This window comes from Homo sapiens, chromosome 18, assembly GCF_000001405.40.
Source record: "Homo sapiens chromosome 18, GRCh38.p14 Primary Assembly".
Classification (NCBI taxonomy): Eukaryota; Metazoa; Chordata; class Mammalia; order Primates; family Hominidae; genus Homo; species Homo sapiens.
In genome coordinates, this window is record NC_000018.10 from 32,040,193 (window position 1) to 32,064,679 (window position 24,487).

At 41.6% G+C, this 24,487-nt stretch overlaps 1 protein-coding gene across 5 annotated transcripts in view, besides 4 other annotated features; it reads left to right on the forward strand.

Moving 5' to 3' along the window:
- The window catches only part of RNF125 (ring finger protein 125), a 71,982-nt gene that overhangs the window by 21,368 nt on the left and 26,127 nt on the right, over positions 1-24,487 (forward strand). For 4 of the 5 annotated variants that reach the window (NM_001436860.1, NM_001436861.1, NM_017831.4 and 1 more), the window contains exons 3-4: positions 1,987-2,081; positions 5,450-5,540. In NM_001436860.1, the coding sequence (NP_001423789.1) occupies positions 1,987-2,081; positions 5,450-5,540 (186 nt within the window). Of the gene's footprint in view, positions 1-1,986; positions 2,082-2,499; positions 2,656-5,449; positions 5,541-24,487 lie in introns of those variants that run through there. The other variant, XM_047437561.1, reaches the window with a different exon arrangement.
- Positions 8,186-8,686: an enhancer, noted in NCBI's record as "H3K4me1 hESC enhancer chr18:29628341-29628841 (GRCh37/hg19 assembly coordinates)". NCBI's record gives its function as "activates a minimal SCP1, AML or CMV promoter by ChIP-STARR-seq in primed H9 embryonic stem cells {active_cell/tissue: H9 hESC(primed)}" and the evidence as "EXISTENCE:reporter gene assay evidence [ECO:0000049][PMID:30033119]".
- Positions 8,186-8,928: a biological region, named in NCBI's record as "Sharpr-MPRA regulatory region 2735".
- Positions 8,634-8,928: a silencer, noted in NCBI's record as "tiled region #2735; HepG2 Repressive DNase matched - State 5:Enh". NCBI's record gives its function as "represses a minimal TATA promoter and a strong SV40 promoter by Sharpr-MPRA in HepG2 cells {active_cell/tissue: HepG2}" and the evidence as "EXISTENCE:reporter gene assay evidence [ECO:0000049][PMID:27701403]".
- Positions 17,477-18,012: an enhancer, noted in NCBI's record as "OCT4-NANOG hESC enhancer chr18:29637632-29638167 (GRCh37/hg19 assembly coordinates)". NCBI's record gives its function as "activates a minimal SCP1, AML or CMV promoter by ChIP-STARR-seq in naive and primed H9 embryonic stem cells {active_cell/tissue: H9 hESC(naive and primed)}" and the evidence as "EXISTENCE:reporter gene assay evidence [ECO:0000049][PMID:30033119]".

The following is a 24,487-nucleotide window of genomic DNA, read 5'->3' on the forward strand; positions in this document are numbered from 1 at the left end:
TTCAGAGTCCCGCCAGATCTCCATTCCTTGAGGCCTGGCCTTAGTTTTCCAGTTCCCTATATCAAACAATTTCTTTCTTTTTTTTTTTTTTTTTTTTGAGACAGAGTCTTGCTCTGTCACCCAGGCTGTAGTGCAGTGGCACCATCTCAGCTCACTGCAACCTCTGCCTCCTGGGTTCAAGCACTTCTCCTGTCTCAGCCTCCCAAGTAGCTGGGACTATAGGTGCACACCACCACACCCGGCTAATTTTTGTATCTTTAGTAGAGAGGGGGTTTCCATATTGGTCAGGCTGGTCTCAAACTCCTGACCTCAGGTAATCCACCCACTTCAGCCTCCCAAAGTGCTGGAATTACAGGCGTGAGCTACCACGCCCAGCCCCTATATCAAACAATTCCTTATCTACTTGTCTAACATCCTTTTTTCTTCTGTTAGATTGTAAGCACCATTAGAACAGGCACAATGAACTGCATTTCTTCTGCCATTTTTTATAATGTTTCAAATAATCTTGTGTCTAGACTATGAATTGATCAATTCATTTGTCAGTAGATAGTCCACGGCTTGTTAATTTTCATGACTAATGCTTATCTTTGTTGAACAAAGAATACAAATAGAAATTTTTACCAGCAAAAGTCATAAAGACATGAGAGAACCCTAATGTGCAAAGTTGGATGTTACAGGTCGTAAAATACATCTGTTTAAGACAGCTTGTGCAGATCAATCCTAGTTTTTATATCTTTTAGGTGGATATTTGTAAAGCCAGGGTTTTGTTCTTACTTTTCACTTGCTTTTATTTTTGCCCTTTGTTAAACAATTATAACTGTTTCCTTGACACGGCAGATTTCATGTTTGAGGTTTAACTTCCGTAGCTTGGGCAAAATGAAGCAGAGTGGGTCGGCCACCTTACCACAGCTGTACAGAGCTTCCTTTAGCACAAGATCTTATCAGAGTTTCTAATGAAACATTTAATAGGATGTGTGATGTTAGCAACAGATCCCTCATGGTTAGGCTCTCTGAATGTATATGTGAAAGAACAAGGGCTCTTTATTCTGCATTGATCAAAATGGACTGCAAGAGCTGTCTTTTATGTTTGCTCTTAATGGGACCATTAAGTATACTGTGTATTGTGAATTCATGTAATACTGTTGGGTGTGTTATAAAACCATGGTATTTATATCTTTCCCTAAGGCACAGTGTTTCATTTAACTTGCTATGGGCACCTCTAAAATGTATCCATTTATTCTTCTTATCTGTCCATTTCTTTTTTCTGTCTCTTTTTCCATCTTAGATTGTTTCTTCTCTCTTGTGCTCTTTTTCTTCACCCATTTTTTTCCCTTGCTTCCTTCTTTCTAAAACCTGTTTATGTAATGGCATGCAAAAGAAGTAAATTTGAGTCACCACACATCTATCTACTTTAAAAAATGTAGATGCTTTTTTTTTTTTTTTTTTTTTTTTTTTTGAGACGGAGTCTCGCTCTGTCGCCCAGGCTGGAGTGCAGTGGCGGGATCTCGGCTCACTGCAAGCTCCGCCTCCCGGGTTCACGCCATTCTCCTGCCTCAGCCTCCCGAGTAGCTGGGACTACAGGCGCCCGCCACTACGCCCGGCTAATTTTTTGTATTTTTAGTAGAGACGGGGTTTCACCGTGTTAGCCGGGATGGTCTCGATCTCCTGACCTCGTGATCCGCCCGCCTCGGCCTCCCAAAGTGCTGGGATTACAGGCGTGAGCCACCGCGCCCGGCCGTATATGCTTTTTAGAAGAACCAAATTCAAGAACTTAACAGTTGGATCTTCTAAGTATCGGAGAATTTGAAAAATAGTAGTATTCTTGATAATGCCTTAATTTTTGGTGGTACTGGTGTTACGAATGCATCTATTTAGTCAGTTGATCCCACAGTATGACCTTACTTGAAAGTTAAAAGGCTGGATCGCATAAGCTTTCATTGAGCCCTTTTTTAACAGTGAGTTTATTTTGAATTTGTTTTTATGTAGGTTTGCCTCAGTGAAATGAGGGCACATATTCGGACTTGTCAGAAGTACATAGATAAGTATGGACCACTACAAGAACTTGAGGAGACAGCAGCAAGGTTTGTTTCAATACAATATAGTTTAATGCTAAAATTGATAATGTTTATAAAGAATTTAATGGGCTGGAAACTTTAACATTCTTATGAAAATATTTACATATTTATGTTTATGTTCTTAACTATAATACCTGGTACTGGTAATCATTTGTTGATAGCAATCATTGTTAAGGAATTTTGCACTGTCTACTTTAAAAATTTCCAGGGGTAACCAACCACAGACTGGAGAGATTGGGGCAACTTCCTCAAACAAGTTTGTGTTAACACAGATCCAAAAATAGAATGCAGAACTGTTACATTTCTGCTAGGCTTTGTTTTCTAATAGATTCCTGAAGTAGATTGTGTTTGGGATTATCCATCTTCTGTCACCACTGCTCATTTCACCAGCTCATTCCTTATCATTTTGCTTGTTTCTCTTTAGAATATAGACAGCAGCATCTCAGTATACAAGAGAACAGGCTGGGCAGGCATCCTGAATCCTTTGCCTTTTTGATGGGTAATCTCGTATGGGGGTAGGGGAAAGATGGAGGTAGCTGACAGATGTAATGGAGGATATTGATAGTATTTTATTCTTTAAAAAAAGAGAAAGAAACATTCGTGGGGTGTGGTGGCTCACACCTGCAATCCCAGCACTTTGGGAGGCTGAGACGGGCAGATCACTTGAGGTCAGGAGTTCAAGACCAGCCTGGGCAACATGGCGAAACCCCATCTCTACTAAAAATACAAAAATTAGCTGGGCGTGGTGGCGCACACCTGTAATCCCAGCTATTCTGGAGGCTGAGGCACGAGAATCACTTGAATCTGGGAGGCAGAGGTTGCAGTGAGCTGAGATCTGGCCACTGCACTCCAGCCTGGGTGACAGAGCGAGACTCTGTCTCAAAAAAAAAAGAAACACATCTAAGTCATTATTCTCCTGATGAGAAAGGTAATTTAGCTGCATCAGAGTAATTATAAAGTTTGTAATCTGCCCCTACTAACCAAATAAAGTGATCTGTGCTCTCTAGCAAAGATTGATGGCTTTCCAGCCATTAATCTGCCTATGGATTCATGTATCCAATATTGGTATTCTGTATAATTTCTCTCTCCCAGAGAAAAATGTTAGCTCTGCTCATTTTTAGAAAATATACTCAAAATATAGCTTACATTTCTAAACCTAAAAGTCTAAACAATCACCTCATTCTTTTTGTTTTACTAGAGATCGCCTTGCAAAAGTACCTATTATTATAGGATTAGCTTTATACCCTGACTTTATAAATTTCAAATGAGTATTTTAGCTATAAACAGAGTATGGATCCTGTTAGATTGACCACAATGACCAATAGGAAGGAAGGATTACCAATGGGTTGAGAAAGTGTATGGGTTTGATTGCAAGGTTGATGGCTTTTATGAAAATTTAAAAATATATGAAAGCTAATTTGAATCCCAATTTCTTTTACTCATTAGAATTAAATAGTAAAGAATTAAAATAATAGAAAATGGAGAGGGTTGTTGATTATTTTACAAGATATATTAATATTTTGATTTATGATAAAAATCTTTGCTTTACAGAAGAATTTACCACATAATTCAAATTTTAAAAATTCTTACACCTAGAGTTTGTCCAGAGTACAAGTTTTGGGGGACAAGAAGTTACATCTGTAACAGAAAGTGAGCAAACAACTCCAAGACTCCGTATTGTCCCTAAGAACTTAAGGCAGTGTTGTCCAGTAGAAATATAATGGGTTTTTTTTTTTCTTTTCTTTTCTTTTCTTTTTGAGATGGAGTCTTGCTCTGTCACCCAGGCTGGAGTGCAGCAGCGCAATCTTGGCTCACTGCAACCTCTGCTGCCCGGGTTCAAGCGATTCTCCTGCCTCAGCCTCCTGAGTAGCTGGGATTACAGGCGTGTGCCACCATGCCTAGCTAATTTTTGTGTTTTTAGTAGAGACAGGGTTTCAGCATCTTGGCCAGGCTGGTCTTGAACTCCTGACCTCGTGATCCACCCGTCTCGGCCTCCCAGAGTGCTGGGATTACAGGCCTGAGCCACTGCTCCCGGCCTAGAAATATAATGTTAATCACATGTAATTCAAAATTTTCTAGTAGCGACATTTAAACAAATAAGAAGATAAAGTTTAAATTACCTTTCAATATATTTTATCTAACCTAATATTGCCAAAATATTATCATCTGAACGTGTAATCAGTATAAAAATTATCAAGATATTTTACATTCTTTTTTCTTTTTACATTAAGCCCTCAAAATTCAGCGTGTATCTTATACATCCAGCAAATCTGAATTTTTTTATTTTTTTTGAGATAGAGTTTCACGCCTGTTGCCCAGGCTGGAGTGCAATGGTGTGATACCAGCTCACTGCACTTCTCTTTAGGAGAGAAGTGCAATCTGAGCATGCATTAACTGAGAAACTGAGTATTGCAGCACCCAGCTGTCCTTGGATTACCTTTTCCTTCCTCCCTTTCCGAATTCACATAACATTTAGATGGGGTGTTATTTGTTTTCCAACTTCACTAGCATATAACTATGTGCATCAGCCTATATTGTTAATTTCCAGTGAAGAAGGAAAAGTGACCTGCAGTCCGGGCGAGGTGGCTCACACCCGAAATCTCAGCACTTTGGGAGGTCAAGGCGGGTGGATTGCTTGAGCTCAGGAGTTTGAGACCAGCTTGGGCAACATGGTGAAACTCCTACCTCTATTAAAAATACAAAAAATTAGCATGGTGGCATGTGCCTGTGGTCTGAGCTACTTGGGAGGCTGAGACAGGAGGATCATTTGAGCCCAGGAAGTGGAGGTTGCGGTGAGCCAAGATTGCACCACTGCACTCCAGCCTGGGTAACAGAGCGAGACTCCCTCTCCAAAAAAAAAAAATAGAAAGAAAGACAGAAAAAGAAAAGTGACCTGCAGCTACCTTATTAAATCCTTATGTACACTTAGGAATATTTGTCACTTATCTGTGCTGTCCAAGATGTGTCCACTGGGCACTTGAAATGTGGCTAGTCCAAATTCAGATATGTGACCAGGTGCGGTGGCTCACGCCTGTAATCCCAGCACTTTGGGAGGCCGAGGTGGGTGGATCACCTTAAGTCAGGAGTTCGAGACCATCCTGGCCAACATGGTGAAACCCCATCTCTACTAAAAATACAAAGATTAACCTGGTGTGGTGGTGGGGGCTTGTAATCCCTGCCACTTGGGAGGCTGAGGCAGGAGGATCCCTTGAACCCGGGAGGTGGGGAGGTTGCATTGAGCTGAGATCATGCCACTGCACTCCAGCCTGGGCCACAGAGCAAGACTCTTGTCTCAAAAAAAAAAAGAAAAAAAAAGTGACTACTATCTAGTTGCCAACCATTTTAATATTATTTGTATTCTGTGCTATTTCCAGGTGTGTATGTCCCTTTTGTCAGAGGGAACTGTATGAAGACAGCTTGCTGGATCATTGTATTACTCATCACAGATCGGAACGGAGGCCTGTGGTAAGGATTTTTGTTACATGTATTACAGCAATGTCTGAATTCAGGACACATTAGGAAATCCATTTAATAGATTTATATTTATAGATACCTTATAAAGGATAATTATTTAAGTTAAGGTTATGGTAACTCTGTGACTGTTTACAATGTGTGAAAGTGTTCAGTTGAAACTGATAAGAACGACTAATGTGTAATCACTCATTTATGAAATTACACATTATCTCTAACAGGTAATCATGGGCATAATCAACTAAAATGATCCAAAATGCACAGTTAAGATCTAAGTTTACCAGCTGGGCCAATATGGTGAAACCCCATCTCTACTAAAAATACAAAAACTAGCTGGGTACATTGGCGGGCATGTGTAATCCCAGCTACTAGGGAGGCTGAGGCAGAAGAATCGCTTGAACCTGGGAGGCAGAGGTTGCAGTGAGCCGAGATGGAGCCACTGTACTCCAGCCTGGGCAACAGAGCAAGACTGTCTCAAAAAAAAAAAAAAAAAAAAAAAGAGAAAGAGAGATCTAAGTTTAGTACACTAACTATGGTTATAGCCATGTTTAGAACATTTAAAAATAATGCAAATAAGGCTGGGCGTGGTGGCTCACACCTGTAATCCCAGCACTTTGGGAGGCCGAGGCAGGCAGATCACGAGGTCAGGAGATTGAGACCATCCTGGCTAACACAGTGAAACCCTGTCTCTACTTAAAAAATAAAAAAATTAGCCAGGCGTGGTGGTGGGCGCCTGTAGTCCCAGCTACTCAGGAGGCTGAGGCAGGAGAATGGTGTGAACCCGGGAGGCGGAGCTTGCAGTGAGCTGAGATCGTGCCACTGCACTCCAGCCTGAGCGACAGAGCGAGACTCTGTCTCAAAAAAAAAAAAAAAAAAAATGCAAATAGTGTTATTATGACACTACACTAGAAACAAAAAGTAGTCATTCATCTTCATTAATGTGTCGTTTTATTCATGGTTAATATTTATCCATATGTTTGTATGGTAAATGTACATATTGCTCATTATTTCCTATATTCATTGTGAATGATGCTTTTTCCTTTTCAGCCTTGGCGTTTTAGTTCTTCTTTGTAGAGTGGCTTTTATAATTTTCATTTTTGTATAGTTGTGAGGTAAGGCAGAGTGGATACATCATTGTTTACTTAAGCTATTTTATTTTTATTTTTTTGAGACAGGCCATAGTACAGTGGCGCCATCTCGGCTCACTGCAACCTTGACCTCCCAGGTTCAAGCGATCCTCCTGCCTCAGCCCCTCAAATAGATGGGACTGTGGGCACGTGCCACTACACCTGCCTAATTTTTTGATGTTGTTGTTGTTGTTTTTAGACGTGCTGTGTCGCCAGGCTGGAGTGCAGTGGCTTGATCTTGGCTCACTGCAACCTCCGCCTCCCAGGTTCAAGCCATTCCCCTGCCTCAGCCTCCTGAGTAGCTGGGACTACAGGCGTGCGCCACCATGCCCGGCTAATTTTTTGTATTTTTTTGATAGAGACAGGGTTTCACCATGTTGGCCAGGATGGTCTCGATCTTCTGACCTTGTGGTTCGCCCACGTCGGCCTCCCAAAGGCTGGGATTACAGGTGTGAGCCACCGCGCCTGGCCTGGATTGTTAACCAGTTTTTAGAATTTGAGTTCATATTCTTGTATGCTTAAACTTTTCCTTATATTGGAATTTTTCTAAGAGGAAATTCCTTACATTATTATTTCTGCAATTAATAATGCAGACTTTTTATTAGCTCTTGAAATGTACTTTTAAAGTGCTTTCCAAAAAGTCTGAGTCAATTTATATTTGTGTCAGCAATGTATGAGTAAACCACTTTTACCTTAATCTGACCATAATTGGGAACATTTATTTTTAATTTACCCTGGCTCAACAAATATAAAATGATACTTTGAAGATTATTTTATGTAGTATGTAGTTTTATGTAATATATACACAAATGTGTGTGTGTTGTTTTCTCATATGAGTTTTTAGGGGTTTTTAATTTTAGGGTTTTTTCCATAAAATCCTTTCAGAAAGTGGATGAAATTAAAACATAAATATATTAGACAGGTAGGTAGATAGATAATGGATAGAAATAAAGATGATAGAGAATAAAGAGAAAGATACAGCCGGGTACAGTGGCTCACACCTGTAATCCAGGACTTTGGGAGGCCAAGTGGGCAGATTACTTGAGGCCAAGAGTTCGAGACCAGCCTGGCCAACACGGTGAAACCCCGTCTCTACTACTAAAAATACAAAAATTAGCAAGGCATGGTGGCATGCGCCTTTAGTCCCAGCTACTCGGGAGGCTGAGGTGGGAGGATTGCTTGAGCCTGGAAGGACGGAGGTTGAAGTGAACTGAGATCGTGCCACTGCACTCCAGCCTGGGTGATAAAACAAGAACCTGTCTCAGGCCGGGTGCAGTGGCTCATGCCTATAATCCCAGCACTTTGGGAGGCTGAGGCGGATGGATCACCTAAGGTCAGGAGTTCAAGACCAGCCTGACCAACATGGTGAAACCCTGTCTCTACTAAAAATACAAAAAAAAAAAAAAAAAAATTAGCCGGGTGTGGTGGGGGGCACCTGTAATCCCAGCTACTCGGGAGGCTGAGGCAGGAGAATCACTTGAACCTGGGAGACGGAGGTTGCAGTGAGCTGAGATCACGCCATTGCACTCCAGCATGGGCAACAAAAGCGAAACTCTATCTCAAAAAACAAACAAAAAAACCCAAAAAAACCTGTCTCAAAAAAAAAGAGAGAAAATCCTCACAGCAATCCTATGAGATAGGCTTGATGATTATCCCCATTTTAAAAATGATAAACTGAGACTCAGAGAGGTTAAGTCAATCATACAAGGTCACACAGCTGGTAAGTAACAAAGACAGAATTTGAATACAGTGATCTAGCTCCAGGGCTGTGTGGGAAACCCCTGTGGTCTATAGCAAGTTCAAGAGAAAAGCATGCAGAGATATTTGTTATTGATCTTAATGGCCTAGGGAGTTGGCAATTGGAATGGCTAAGTAGGAGCTTGTTAGGTGTTGAGGGAGCAGAGCCGATGGTCACGGGCTTTTCCTGCTCAAGTTGCTCTGTAGGAGGAACTGGGCTAGGGAGTTGTTTCACAATAGGTCCCTGGGGAGCTAGAGGAAGTTAGAAGAAAGCATAAGGATGGAATGATAGTGACTACTATCACTGAGTTTACTGAGTTATAAGTATTTTCTTGTCTCCTAGCAACTCTGTGAAGAAGGTTGAACCCTGACCATTAGTACCCAGGGTGCTGCTTTGGCTGGAAGAATGCCAGGCCCTCTGGACTGTGGTCCTAGGCTGCATCTAAGCAGCAATCTGGGGCAGGCCGTGTACTGGTCAGTTCCGTGGTACTGTGTACCTGCTCCAGCAGAAATCCAGTCCACATGCTGCTCAGTTTGGCCCAAATTGAAGGTGGCCCATGAAGCTAGGTCCTCCATGATTTTACAGGTCTTCAGGGTCATTGAAGACAGCTGACCTAAGCAGGGAAACAAACTAGGAATGGTGGAATCAGATTGCCTGTGGGATTTTGTAGTTAAATCCTAGGCTTTAAAGGGGATAGGCTTGGTTCTAATCCCAGGAAGTCTATTAAATTCTGTCACTGTTTCATCATTTGTAAAATGGGGATGGTGATGACATTCATGCCTTTTTCACAAGTAGTAAATGAATCAGGCATATAATAAAGTAAGCACTCTGTCTCCTGGTGATCACTCCATTAATAGAAGAGGGTGGTGGTGATAGTGGAGGTTCACTACACTTTTTCAATTCTATAAAATCAGGCCTAGAGAAGATTTCTTAGAGGAAGTGATGTCCTCTCACAGTTAGAGAACCCACATGGGGTGGTGGTGTGAGTCGGGGGGGTGGCGGGGAGGAGGAGGATGGGGAAGTGAAGTGGTAAAATCTCACCACAAAGACCAGGATGCTATCATGGCCTTGAAGCAGGAGCAGATTGTTCAGAAATCCAAGGTTCTGTAATACCCTAGGGCTGTCTAGAGGTGGTAATTGGAACACAAGACCTTCAGGTGTCCTGTGTTAGTGTTTCACTCTTGAGCAGAAGCTCAGGAGCATGTCACTCTGAAGGATCTAGAGCCACTAGAAGTCATGATTTACCCCATGGTTAGGAAAAGGCAGGGGACAGATATGTGGTATAGCTGGGGTTCACGTGCTTAGGGGTCCCTAATGGGGACATGTGGGTGAAAACACACTGAGGGAAGTCCTGGGCAAGGAGGGCTGGGTCCAATGCTGATTCTGGATGGGTGTGGAAGTTAACCAGGAATTATTGCTTTAAAGGACTGGATTACAGGTTTTGCAAGCAGATAAGATCAGTGACATCATCTGACTTACCTCACATAAGAGGTTTCCTGGCATTTAGAGATTTCCTGGGTAAATGATTCTTCTGACTTCCAAAAATAATTAGATAACTCAGAGATCAAACCACAAGATAACCATCTTTTCTTTCTGAGCTGCTCAAGAATGATAAAATGTTTGTTAAAAACATCAGGGGATTTTGACTTTTCTTATATGCATCCTTAAGAGCCAATAGCTCCTTTTTGTCAAGCAGTAATTATATTGTTATATTCTGCCATTTTTTAAAATTTGGAGACAGGGTCTCGCTCTGTCACCCAGGCCGGACCGCAGTGGTGCAGTAATAGCTCACTGTAACCTTGAACTCCTGGGCTCAAGTGATCCTTACCTCAGCTTCCTGAGTAGCTGGAACTACAGGTGTGCACCTTCACAACTGGATAATTCTTTAATTATTATTTTTTTATTTTTTATTTTTGGTAAAGATGAGATCTTGCTATGTTGCCCAGGCTGGTCTCAAATTCCTGGCTTCGAGCTATCCTCCCACCTTGGCTTCTGAAAGCATTGAGTTTACAGGCATGAGCCACTAAGCTCGGTTATTTATTTTTTTAAATAATAATTCCATCTCTGGAATATTAGACTCGAAGGAAGCAGGTGACACAAACAGCATGCTTTAGACTGAATTATGAGACCACTTTTTTTCTTTTTCCTTAAATGTAGATAACATTAATGAGACCACTTTTGAGAGAAATGTATTTTATTCTGTAAAGGGAAGATGTTTTAGCAAGAACCTTGCCCTCCAGCTAGTCTCTCGGTCTAGAGTGCTTTTTTTTTTTTTTTTTTTTTTTTTTTTTTTTTTGAAGAGACGGTGTTTCATCATCATGTTGCCCAGGCTGAGTCTCGAACTTGTGAGCTCAAGCGATCTGCTCTCCTCGGCCCCGCAAAGTGCTGGGATTACAGGCATGAGCCACCGCGCCTGGCCTCAAAGTTCTCTTTCTTTCACTGGTTGGCTCTTACTCATCCTTTGGAGCTTAGCTTAAATTTTACTTCCTCAAGGAAGCCCTCCCTGATACTCATTAATTTCAGCTTTTGCTTTTCTCCCCTCTACTTTTCAGTATTTACCACAACTTATAATTGCATATTCATTTCATGTCTGTCTCTCCCTCTAATTTATTAGGCTTATGGAGTCATGGGACCTAAGTCTTTCGTTTAACACTGCATGCCCAGTTCTTTGCAGAGTGCCTAGAACATAGCAGGATGTAGTGATGTGGAAAAAAGATAGTAAAGAAAGACAGGCTGGGCGCGGTGGCTCACATGTGTAATCCCAGCACTTTGGGAGGCCAAGGCAGGTGGATCACCTGAGGTCAGGAGTTCGAGACTAGCCTGGCCAACATGGCAAAACCCCGTCTCTACTAAAAATGCAAAAATTAGCTGGGCATGTTGGCAGGAGCCTGTAATCTCAGCTACTCAGGAGGCTGAGGCAGGAATCGCGTGAACCCAGGAAGCGGAGGTTGCAGTGAGCCAAAATCATGCCATTGCACTCCAGCCTGGGCGACAAGAGCAAGACTCAGTCTTAAAAAAAAAAAAAAAAAAAAAAAGGCATGATTCCATTCACCCTGATTCAGGGGTTCCAGTGAGTTCTATATTTTCTTTCTTTTTTTTTTTTTTTGTTTGAGATAGAGTCTTGCTCTGTTGCCAGGCTGGAGTGTAGTGGCGTGATCTCACTGCAACCTCTGACTCCCTGGTTCAAGCAATTCTCCTCCCTCAGCCTCCCGAGTAGCTGGGATTACAGGCATGCACCACTGCACCCAGCTAATTTTTGCATTTTTAGTAGAGTTGGGGTTTCACCATGTTGGCCAGGATGGTCTCGATCTCCTGACCTTGTGATCTGCCCGCCTCAGCCTCCCAGAGTGCTGGGATTACAGGCGTGAGCCACCACGTCCAGCCTGAGTTCTATATTTTCAATGTTACCCTGGGGGCTCATTCCTTAAGGAAGGGACAGGACTTTTGGTTTGAAGTGTAAACTGTGATGATTACATCCTGGGCTACCCCTCTCCATAGCAGTTAATTTCCGTGAGTACTTAGAATATCTGTGACTTGATGCGACAGTGGAGATCTATGTGGTAATAATTCTGGAAGGAAAAAAAAATCTCCAATAGATTTGCTTTCAGTGGCCGGGTGTGGTGGCTCGTGCCTGTAATCCCAGCACTTTGGGAGGCTGAGGTGGGCAGATCACAAGGTCAGGAGTTCAAGACCAGCCTGGCCAATATGGTGAAACCCCATCTCTACTAAATATACAAAAATTAGCCAGGCACGGTGGCGCGCGTCTGTAGTCCCGGCTGCTCAGGAGGCTGAGGCAGGAGAATTGTTTGAACCTGGGAGGTGGAGGTTGCAGTGAGTCAAGATTGTGCCACTGCATTCTAGCCTGGGTGACAGAGCGAGACTCCATCTCAAAAAAAAAAAAAAAAAATTAGGTATGCAGTCTTGTACCTTGATTTTAATTACATAGGTGCCTGTGAATATTTTCAGTGCATGTTCCTTTTTTCTTCTTTGGGTATTGGATTGAGTGACCTTTAATTACCTCCTCAAATGGCACTTGTCATCACATGGGAAGTGTTCTATAATCAGCTGAGTTGCTGTGGAGGTTAATCTAAGCCACAGATAGAGCGGAGTGTCCATTATCATAGATATTCTGAAGGATCGAATCCTTTGCATCTTGGAATGGCTGTAACATGAGTGCACTGTTGTCCAGCTCTTTTACACTTGTACTCCTAGAGTCATCTTCTGACTTCAGGAGAACTTGATAGAACATGCTGTTCACTAAGGATCATTGATATTAGATTGCATACATAGTACTTGGCAACTGAAATCCCTCAACAGTAAAATATGGTGTTCTTGCATATATGCTATTAGAACTTAAGAAAAGGGTACCAGAAAAAAATTAAGTTCTGACACACTTATTTTCTATTAAATATTAAATCAGTCACGCACAGACTTTAGAAATGGAATTCAAGTTTTATAGTAGAAAATAGATGTCATTGGCTGGGTGTGGTGGCTCATGCCTGTAATCCCAGCCCTTCGGGAGGCCGAGGCAGGGAGATCACCTGAGGTCGGGAGTTCGAGACCAGCCTGACCAACATGGAGAAACCCCGTTTCTACTAAAAATACAAAATTAGCCGGGCATGGTGGTACATACCTGTAATCCCAGCTACTCGGGAGACTGAGGCAGGAGAATCGCTTGAACCCGGGAGGTGGAGGTTGTAGTGAGCCGAGATTGTGCCATTGCACTCCAGCCTGGGCAACAAGAGTGAAACTCTGTCTCAAACAAAAAAAAAAAGAAAGAACATATATGTCATTCACAGTGAGGACTGTCAGACCTGCACTGAGTATGATTATTTTAGGGATTCCCTATAACAATACAAAAATGGGGGAAAACTGTCAACTGTAGGCCAACTCTTCAGGCATAGTGGCTCACACCTGTAATCCCAGCACTTTGGAAGGCTAAAGCAGGCAGATCACTTGTGGTCAGGAGGTCAGGAGTTCGAGACCAGCCTGGCCAACATGGTGAAATCCCATCTCTAGAAAAAATTTTTAAAAATTAGCCAGGCACATTGGCGTGTGCCTCTAGGAGGCAGGAGGATTGCTTGAGCGCGGGAGGTAGAGGCTGCAGTGAGCAGAGATCGCATCATTGCACTCCAGCCTGGGTGATGGGAGTAAAACCCTGTCTTAAAAAAAAAAAATAGAACTGGAAAGCCAACTACCCTGTTGGTTATGATCTGTCAGTAATATTGCCTTTATTCTTAATGGGATAAGGGAGGGGTGTCTTATTGAAAACCCTGGTAAGGACCAGTTCAGAAAGACTAGGGGGGGAGACAGGGTATTTGACTCCATGTATCCATGAAGCAGTATCAACTCCATTTCTGTGGCTTTGGTGTTTGGTGTGAGAAACTTTAGGAAATGCATCCTAATAGACCTATGTTAGATGCTCTCACCTATGATCCTGATGATCAAAGCTCATATGATCATGCCTGTGAAGACATTTGTACTTTTTTTTTTTTTTTTTTTTTTTTGAGACAGAGTTTCACTCTTGTCACCCAGGCTGGAGCGCAGTGGCGTGGTCTCGGCTCGGAGCAACCTCCACCTCCTGGGTTCAAACGATTCTCCTGCCTCAGCCTCCCAAGTAGCTGGGATTACAGGCGTGCGCCACCATGCCGGCTAATTTTTGTATTTTTAGTAGAAACGTGGTTTCACCATGTTGACCAAGTTGGTCTTGAACTCCTGACCTCAGGTGTTCCTCCCGCTGTGGCCTCCCAAAGTGCCGCGATTACCGGCATGAGCCACCGCATCTGCCCTGTACATTTTATGTATTCTCAGAAGCCCTTACATTGGTGATTCCTAATATTTTCTCTGTCCCATCACATCTAAAAAATATAATACTGAACAAAATCATTCTTATTTTTCCATAAGTAATAGTGATGCATGAGAGTGGTGAGAACTCCTCTGGGGAGAAAATATGGTTTTATCAGAATTTAGGGAAGGAAAGTTATATCATTGAAAAAGAATTCTCATCTGATTCTGTGTATCAACTATTCTTCTCCCATTTCTGACCTGCCCAAGGGCTCTGTTGTAGGAACTGATGTGAAGTAGAAGACATTTGGAAAAAACAAAAAGCTAGCAAAAATCTGTCAGAAGAGAAAGAAAAGTACTAGAAATCTTTTTCCCAAAAAGGAATTCTTTATTCATGAGGTGTCTACTGTGTGTCAAGTTATGCTAGGTCTAGGCATAAGGAAATAAGATAAATATGATTTGTTCTTGCCCTAGGATCCTTTATTCCAAGGAAGAAGAAAATTTGAATAAAATATATATTATCTAATCTGCAAAGTATATATTTTATTCCTACTTTAGATATGAAAAATTGAATTTGAGCTTCTATTATGTGCCAAATCCTATGCAAGCTAACATAGCAAGAATTTAGGCCAGCTGCAGTGGCTTACACCTGTAATCCCAGCACTTTGGGAGGCCGAGCTGGGGGAATTGTTTGACCCCATGAGTTCAAGGCCAGCCTGGGCAACGGAGCAAGACCCTGTCTCTACAACAACAACAACAAAATTAGCTGGACCCGGTGGTGCACGCCTGTAATCCCAGCTACTAGGGAGGCTCAGGTGGGAGGATCCCTTAAGCCCAGGAGTTTGAGGCTGCAGTGAGCTATGATGGCACCGCTGCACTCCAGCCTGGGCAACAAAAGGAGACCATGTCTCTAAAAAAAAAAAAAAAAAGAAATTAGACCAAGTTATTCTTATTTAGTTTTTCCTGTTCCAACATCTTGCTCCCGGTATTCATTCTCACACTGCTATAAAGAACTGCCCAAGACTGGGTAATTTAGAAAGGAAGGAGGTTTAATTGACTCACAGTTGCACATGGCTGGGGTGGCCTCAGGAATTATGGCAGAAGGCAAATGGGAAGCAAGGCAACTTTTTCACACGCAGGAGAGAGAATGAACGCGGGAGGAACTACCACACACGTATAAGACCATCAGATCTTGTGAGAACTCATTTTTATGAGAACAGCATGGGGGAAACTGCCCCCATGATTCAATTACCTACACCTGGTCTCTCCCTTGACACTTGGAGATTGTGGGGATTATTAAGAGAACACTTAGGCCAGGTGTGGTGGCTCATGCCTGTAATCCCAGCACTTTGGGAGGCCAAGGTGGGCGGATCACCTGAGGTGGGTAGTTTGAGACCAGCCTGACCAACATGGAGAAATCCGTCTCTACTAAAAATACAAAATTAGCCGGGTGTGGTGGCGCATGCCTGTAATCCCAGCTTCTCGGGAGGCTGAGGCAGGAGAATCGCTTGAACCTGGGAGGCGGAGGTTGCAGTGAGCCGAGATCATGCCATTGCACTCCAGCCTGGGTAACAAGAGTGAAACTCCATCTCAAAAAAAAAAAAAAAAAAAAAAAGAACATTTAAAAATTAAAAAAAATTTAAACCCTAATTTTAAGAAACTTAAGAAATCCATTATTATTTCTGGCTGCCTTTATAAAAGACACTTTGTTTTTAACGTCATATAGGACTTTTTTTTTCCTGGAATTTGCAAGGATTCTTACTCTCTTCAGTATTCCTGAAAATGAAAGTAAGTGGCTCACATAGGAAGAAGGAGAGATTTCGTAGACTTTCTGTAAAGTGAACAGACTTCAGGTACTGACTCCTCGTAAATCTAGACTGTTATAAAATTGCCCTACAAAGCTCTGAGAAAATGACTCACATGAATAAAGAGGAAAAGGACTGGCCTGGCGTGGTGGCTCCCGACTGTAATCCCAGCACTTTGGGAGGCTGAGGTGGGCAGATCACCTGAGGTCAGGAGTTCGAGACCAGCCTGACCAATATAGAGAAACCACCCCCCATGTCTACTAAAAATACAAAATTAGCTGGGCATGGTGGCCCATGCCTGTAATCCCAGCTACTCGGGAGGCTGAGGCAGGAGAATCACTTGAACCCAGGAGGCAGAGATTGCGTTGCAGTGAGCCAAGATCACGCCGTTGCACTCTAGCCTGGGCAAAAAGAGCAAAACTCCGTCTCAAAAAAAAAAAAAAAAAAAGACAATTATAGAAAAAAAGATAATAACATTAAACAATAAAAAAGAGCAAAACTCCATCTCAAAAAAAATTTAAAAAAAAGAGCAAAAGGAGTGGGAAGTTTTTCTAATTCTCATGGATTACAGTAGGAGAATGAGAACAGGTGCAAAAGAAACTCAATGCACTTGGCTTTATGCCAACAATGATTTTTTTACACAGCAAAAAATTACAAACCTTCTTCCTTACCTCTCTTCCTCAAGCTTATACATAATAGACATACAGCAGCATTTCTATTTCTACATTATACTTGGGCTGTTTATAGTATTGAGCTAATAAAGATTTTTACACAGTCGTAGAGAAAAGGGTCCTCAGAGGTGATCTAATGTAGCCTCCCTCTCAAGGTGATAAGTAACTTACTGTGTGAGTGCTTGAAGTTTTCCAGAATGGTAACCCAGTTATTACAAGGATTTTGTTTCTACACCTTTCAACATCTTAATTTCCCTTCTGTGTCTATTGCAGTTTATTGATGTTTTCCTTACCCAGCACTTAAAATAGAACACAGCACTCCAAGAATGGTCAGTGAATGCAGAACAGAGGAAACAACCATTATTCTAGATAATTGAATGTTATCCATACAGCACTGTACTAGCTTTTTTATGATTGAGTCATATTTCTGGCCTAATTATGATTCTCAGTAAAATAGAACCCCAAATGACTTTTTTTTTTTTTTTTCTGAGACGGAGTTTTGCTGTTGTTGCCTAGGCTGGAGTGTAGTGGCGCGATCTTGGCTCACTGCAACCTCTGCCTCCCGGGTTTAAGCGATTCTCCTGCCTCAGTCTCCCGAGTAGCTGGGATTATAGGGGCATGCCTCCACACCTGGCTAATTTTTATATTTTTAGTAGAGACGGAGTTTCTCCATGTTGGTCAGGCTGGTCTCAAACTCCTTACCTCAGGTGATCTGCCCACCTCAGCCTCCCAAAATGCTGGGATTACAGGCATGAGCTACCGCGCCTGGTCCAAATGACTGTTTTTTTTATAGGTACTGGAGTTAAGAAAGGTGTTCTCCATTACAGCCTAGGTATTAGATTTAGAATTTCTCATTTGTTCGCCTACTATTTTATCTTGTTTCTCTGAAAGAAATTATATTGTCTTTAAGGCGGTTGTTCTCAAACTTTATCATGCATGAGAATCATCTACAAGACCTGTTTAAACATAGATTGCTGGCCTCTGCCCCTAGAGTGTCTGATAAAATAGGTCTGAGCTAGGGCCTGAAAATTTGCATTTCTAACAAGTTACCAGATGGTGACAATGCTGCTGGTCTGAGGACCCCACGCTGAGAACCATTGCTTCCTTTAAAGCGCTAAAGTGGCCAGGCACCGTGGCTTATGCCAGTAGTCCCAGCATTTTATGAGGCCAAAGTGGGAGGGTTACTTAAAGCCAGGAGTTTGTGGTTACAGTGAGCCATGATCATACCATTGCACTCCAGCCTGGGTGACAGAGTGAGACCCCATCTCTAAAAAAAAAAAAAAAAAAAAAAATTAAAGGGCAAGTGAGAAGTATGACCATATATGTACTTTCAATTTTTGTGGATGCATAGTAGGTGTATATATTTATGGGGCACATGAAATACTTTGATACAGGCATGCAGTGTGTAATAATCACATCAGGGTAAATGGCATACCCATCACCTTAAGCATTTATCCTTTCTTTGTGTTACAAACAATCCAATTATACTCTTTTTTTTTTGAGAGGGAGTCTCGTTCTGTCGCCCAGGCTAGAGTGCAGTGGTGCGATCTTGGCTCACTGTGACCTCCGCCTCTCAGGTTCAAGGGATTCTCCTGCCTCAGCCTCCCAAGTAGCTAGGACTACAGGCTCATGTGACCACACCCAGCTAATTTTTGTATTTTTAGTAGAGACAGGGTTTCACCACGTTGGTTAGGCTGGTCTCAAACTCCTGACCTCAGGTGATCCACCCACCTTGGCCTCCCAAAGTGCTGGGATTTCAGGCGTGAGCCCCTGTGCCTGGCCTATACTCTTAAATGTACAATACATTATTGTTGACTTTAATTGCCCTGTTGTGCTATGAAATGCTAAATCTTATACATTCTATCTAACTATATTTGTGTACCCATTAACCATGCCCACTTCCCCCAATCCCCACTACCCTTCCCAGCCTCTGGTAACCATCATTCTACCCTCTATCTCCATGAGTTCAATTGGTTTAATTTTTAGCTCCCACAAATAAATGAGGACATGTGAAGTTTGTCTTTCTGTGCTAGGCTTATTTCACTTAACATAATGTCCTCCAGTTCCATCCATGTTGTTGCAAATGACAAAATCTCATTCGTTTTTATGACTGAATGGTACTCCATATGTACCATGCTTTCTTTACCCACTTGTCTGTTGCTGGACACTTAGGTTGTTTCCAAATCTTGACTATTCTGAATAGTACTGCAATAAAAATGGGAGTGCGGATATTTCTTGAATATACTGATTTCCTTTCTTTGGGGAATATACCTGGGAGTAGGATTGCTGGATCATATGATAGTTTGATTTTCAGTTTTTTGAGGAACCTCTAAATTCTTCTCCGTAGTAGTTGTACTAATTTACATTCCCACCACCCGTGTATGAAGTTTCCCTTTTCTCCACATCCTCGTCAGCATCTGTTATTGTGTGACTTTTGGATAAAAACCATTTTACCTGCGGTGAGATGATATCTCATTGTAGTTTTGATTTGCATTTCTCTGATGATCAATGATGCTGAGCACTTTTTCATATGCCTATTTGCCATTTATATGTCTTCTTTTGAGAAATGTCTGTTTAAATCGTTTGCCTGTTTTAAATTGAATTACTAATTTCTTTTCCTGTAGAGTTGTTTGCACTCCTTATATATTCTGGTTATTAATCCCTTGTCAGATGAGGAGTTTGCAAATATTTTCTCCCATTCTGTGGGTTGTCTCTTCACTTTATTGATTGTTTCCTTTGCTGTGCTGAAGCTTTTGGATGTGATTCCATTTGTCCATTTTCGCTTTGGTTGCCTGTGTTTGTGGGGTATTATTCCAGAAATCTTTGCCCAGATCAATGTCCTGGAGAGTTTCTCCAATGTTTTCTTTTAGTAGTTTCATAGTTTGAGGTCTTAGATTCAAGTTTTTAATCCATTTTGATTTGATTTTGACTATTTTTTTTTAATTTGATACTATCTTGACCAGCATTGAATAATCTATATCCTAAGGATTTAGAGGAATAATTATCCTTTCAAAAGAATCTTCCTCATCTGATCAAAAATGGAAAGAAACATCTGTTTCCACCCACATCAAGTGTTGTTTTGTTTCAATCCTATTAAAGCAGCCTTGGTCAGGAGATCTTTCCCCTTTTCCTAGCAAGAGGATTTCTTTGGTCCTCAATTTGGTCATTTGTAAAACAAAGGTAGAGAAAATCTACTCAATGATTTTGGTTATTTTTGGCTTTATGGTTTCTTGAAAAGAAAGAACAATAAATGAAGATTCATTGCATAGAAAGGGCCTATTTGGAGTCAACATGCTCAAGGCCAGGAAATAGAAACCACAGGGCTAAGGGGATCAACTGAAGGCATCAGTAGGATGAGGTGAAGCTCTTCTAAGCTGCCAGGTCACAAATCAGGACAGGCAGATGTCCGGTCCCTGACACACTGGCCTGCACAGTGAATGGGCTGTAAGCTTATCCACTAAAGACCTGTCATTGTTGCGGGTGGGTTGGTGGGAGCATAAGGACATGATAATATCACCATGTCTAGTAAGTGGGAGGCTAATCTTAGAAACAGTTTTCAATTCTTTGAAGTTGGTAGTAGCTTCTAATATGGTAGCTATTATTTGCCCATTGCATTCACCATCAGAAAAAGCCCATACAGAGATGAAGCCAGCATATTTTGAATGTACACTGTATAGTTGTTGGCTCTTAATATAAGTAGTATAGCCTGGGAGCATTGAGTAGAGACAAGTAAGAAAGGATGAGCTGATGTTAGGAAATGGACAACATTGAGTATAAGTCAATACTTAGGTAATCTTCAGTCTGTCTCTCACCTACCATTTCTTTCTCCTTCCTATTCTTACCCTCTCTTCCCTCAGGTTTAATCTCCCAATTTAAGAAACAAAAGAAGTTTTTCCACTAGTACCGACTTCAGCCCATTGTTTTGCAATGTCGTTTTGACAGATGTGTCTTTAGTCACACAATTAAATTTTATGTTGACCAGAGACTGAAGACTCCACTAGTTGCCTATTAACGTCAGACTAACAATGGCTTGCACCTGTAATCCTAGCTACTCAGGAGGCTGAGGCAGGAGAATCTCTGGAATCTGAGAGTTCAAGGCCAGCCTGGTCAACAAAGTGAGATCCCGTTTCAAAAACAAAACAAAACAAAATCTTGTTTGCTTAAAATTCTAGTTTTTTTTTCAGACAGTCTTGCTCTGGCGCCCAGGCTGGAGTGCAGTGGTGCGATCTCGGCTCACTGCAAGCTCCGCCTCCTGGGTTCACGCCATTCTCCTGCCTCAGCCTCCCAAGTAGCTGGGACTACAGGCACCCGCCACCACACCCGGCTAATTTTTTGTATTTTTAGTAGAGACAGGGTTTCACCGTGTTAGCCAGGATGGTGTCGATCTCCTGACCTCATGATCCGCCCACCTTGCCCTCCCAAAGTGCTGGGATTACAGGCGTGAGCCCCCGTGCCTGGCCTAAAATTCCAGGTTTTCTGTATTTGTCTTCTCCACTAGACTCTAATCAGCTCCTTATTGGTAGGGACCAAGGTAACAGACATCTCTGTACCTCTGACTCCTTGCATCAAGTCTACCAAAACCATGTCAGGTGCTTGAATAAATATGGAGCAGAGCTAGTTCCAACTTATCATTCCAAACTCATCCCCTACCACTTCCCCAACTTTCCCTACCTTCAGTTACACTGAGGTTTTTCCATTGCCCTAAGCAGGCCTCTTTCTTTTAGGATTTACTGCCTTTTCCCACGTTGATTCCTCTGCTGTGATGCTCCTCCCTGCTGGCCTGGCTGGCTCATTCTTCAAGACCCACTTCAGTTACCAGCAGCTCTGCTGGAGCCTTTCCGAACCCTTGGGCAAAATTAGTAATTCCCTTTACAGATCTTGAACAGTTGTCTGTTCACATCTTGAGTATGGCACTTGATACACTATTGAAAGTATCTGCTTAAGTGATAATAATGGCAGCTAAAGACTGAGCTAATATAATGACTGAGCTTTATAATAGTAAATGGTGTATTATTTTAAATCTAACAGCTCTGAGACACAGAACATCAGCGAGAGGCTGAAATGAAATCGGAAACTATTTTCTGGGTACTAAGAATGTAGGGATCAACTAGACACATGGTAGTTTCTTCCCTCAGGGAGCCCCAACTCTTCAAGGACAGGGATCAAATAGTAGTAAATATGTGGCATTTATTGAATGTTTGATGTTTACCTGGCACACTGAAGACATTATCTGTAAATATTACAGCTACTCTACAAGGCAGGTGTTATTATCTCCATTTCACAGAAGGGGAAACTTATATGCTCAAGATCACACTGCTGGTGCTAGGATTTGAACCCAAAGTATCTAACTTCAAAGTATCCTACTGATCTCTATATTCTAAGTGCGGAACACGTAGTAGGGGCATAATAAAGAGTGTTGGATGAACAAATTTCTATAAGCAGGTTCCTTCTCCCACACTACAAATATTAATAGTGCTCTTTTGTTGAAATATTTCTTGGTCTCAGCTCTGTTCTCATTATACATAGTGGCATCAGGGAAAATTAAATGCTGTCTTGGAATGACCAGTAGTGCCAATTAACCAAGAACATTAGGAAATTGTAAATGATTATAATTCAACAATAATTAATTAAAAGGATGTAATTTTACTAAAAATAAGATGTAAAAATTAGCGAAGTTGAGCAAAATTCAGAAATAGACCTTTAATTATAGAAATTGAGCATATTGAAACTGAGATCCTCATAAAACAATAAGAAAGAAAAGAAATATATAAAGACCTCATTTAAATAAAGAAAAACATTATCACCCAAGTTGATAAATTGGACACTGTTAGAATGTGAAAAGAACATTGGAGGATCAGCGACATTGATTCCAGATCTGATACTTACAGCTGAGTAAATTCAAGCTATTTTTTTTTCTCTCTGAAATTGGGCTCATCAACAAAATAAGGATAGCAATTAATTCACTGAGTTGTTGTGAGGATCAAATGAGAATACTACCTAATTTACTACCTAACAACACATACTTGGCACTCAGTAATAAGTCTGCATCTCATACTTTAAAAAATGAATACATGGGCCGGGTGGGGTGGCTCATGCTTGTAATCCCAGCACTTTGGGAGGCAGAGGTGGGTAGATCACCTGAGGTCAGGAGTTCGTGACCAGCCTGGCCAAAATGGTGAAACCCTGTCTTTACTAAAAATACAAAAATTAGCTGGGCATGGTGGTGGGCGCCTGTAATCCCAGCTACTTGGGAGGCTGAGGCAGGAAAGTTGCTTGAACCCAGGAGGCGGAGGTTGCAGTGAGCCAAGACCATGCCATTGCACTCCAGCCTGGGCAACAAGAGCAAAACTCAAAACTCCATTTCAAAAAAAAAAAAAAAAAGAAGAATACATGAATAAATATAATTTTAAAAAAGTGAACCTTTGTTAAAATGTGATAAAGTAATATATGTTAAAAGAGTTATTTATATTAGCCATCATAGAAGTGCAAATTAAAACCATGGTGAGATACCAGTACACGTTTAACAAAATGGCTCAAATAAAAAAATTTGGACAATACCAAATGTTGGGGAAAATAAAGAAAAACTGAATAATTCATACATTGCTGGTGGGAATGTAAAATAGTACAGCCACTCTGGAAAACAGTTTGGCAATATTTTACAAAGTTAAACATATACTTATCATATAACCAGGCAATCACACTCCTGAAAATTTATCCTAGAGAAATGAAAACTTAATGTTTATGCAAACATTTGTACACAAATATTTCTTGGAGCTTTATCTTAACAACCAAAAACTGGAAACAACCCAAATGCCCTTTACAAAATAAATGGATAAGCAGACTGTGGGACATCCATACATGAAATACTACTCAGTAATAAGGAGGGAGCTATGGATACACCCAGCAACTTAGATGGATCTCAAAGTCATGCTCAATGGGAAAAGCCAATCTCAAAAGGTTAAATACTGTATAGTTCTATTTATATAAGTTTCTCGAAATAGTAATAATAATAATATGGGGAACAGAGCAGAGGTTAGGGAGAGAGAAGGAAATAAAGGATAGCAACGCACTGACATTCCTTTGCAGTGACAGAATGGTCTGTATCTTTTTTTTTTTTTTAATCCATCAAGTCCTTTTTTTTTTCTTTTTGAGACAGGGTCTCACTCTGTCATCCAGGCTGGAGTGCAGTGGTGCGATCTCGGCTTACTGCAACCTCTGCCTCCTGGGTTCAAGCCATTCTGCTGCCTCAGCCTCTGGAGTAGCCAGGACTACAGGTGTGCACCACCACGCCTGGCTAATTTTTTTGTCTTTTTAGTAGACATGGGTTTTGCCATGTTAGCCAGGCTGGTCATGAACTCCTACCTCAAGTGATCCACCTCCCAAAGTGCTGGGATGACAGGCATGAGCCACGGCGCCCAGGGATTACACTTCAACATGAGATTTGGGCGGGGACAAATTTCCAAACTATATCTCACACACACACACTGAAAAATATGAGTACAGGCAAAATCTGGTGAAATCTTTTTCTTTTTCTTTTTTTTTTTTTTTTTTTTTTTGAGACAGAGCTGGTGCCTCGGCTGCCTGAGTAGCTGGGATTACAGGTGCTGCCACCATACCTGGCTAATTTTTTTGTCTCCACACCCAGGGATTACATTTCAACATGAGATTTGGGTGGGGACAAGTTTCCAAACTATATCACACACACACACACTGAAAAATATGAGTACAGGCAAAACCTAGTGAAATCTTTTTTCAAGCAATTCTCCTGCCTCAGCCTGCCAAGTAGGTGGGATAGCAGGCAGGTGTGCACCACCAC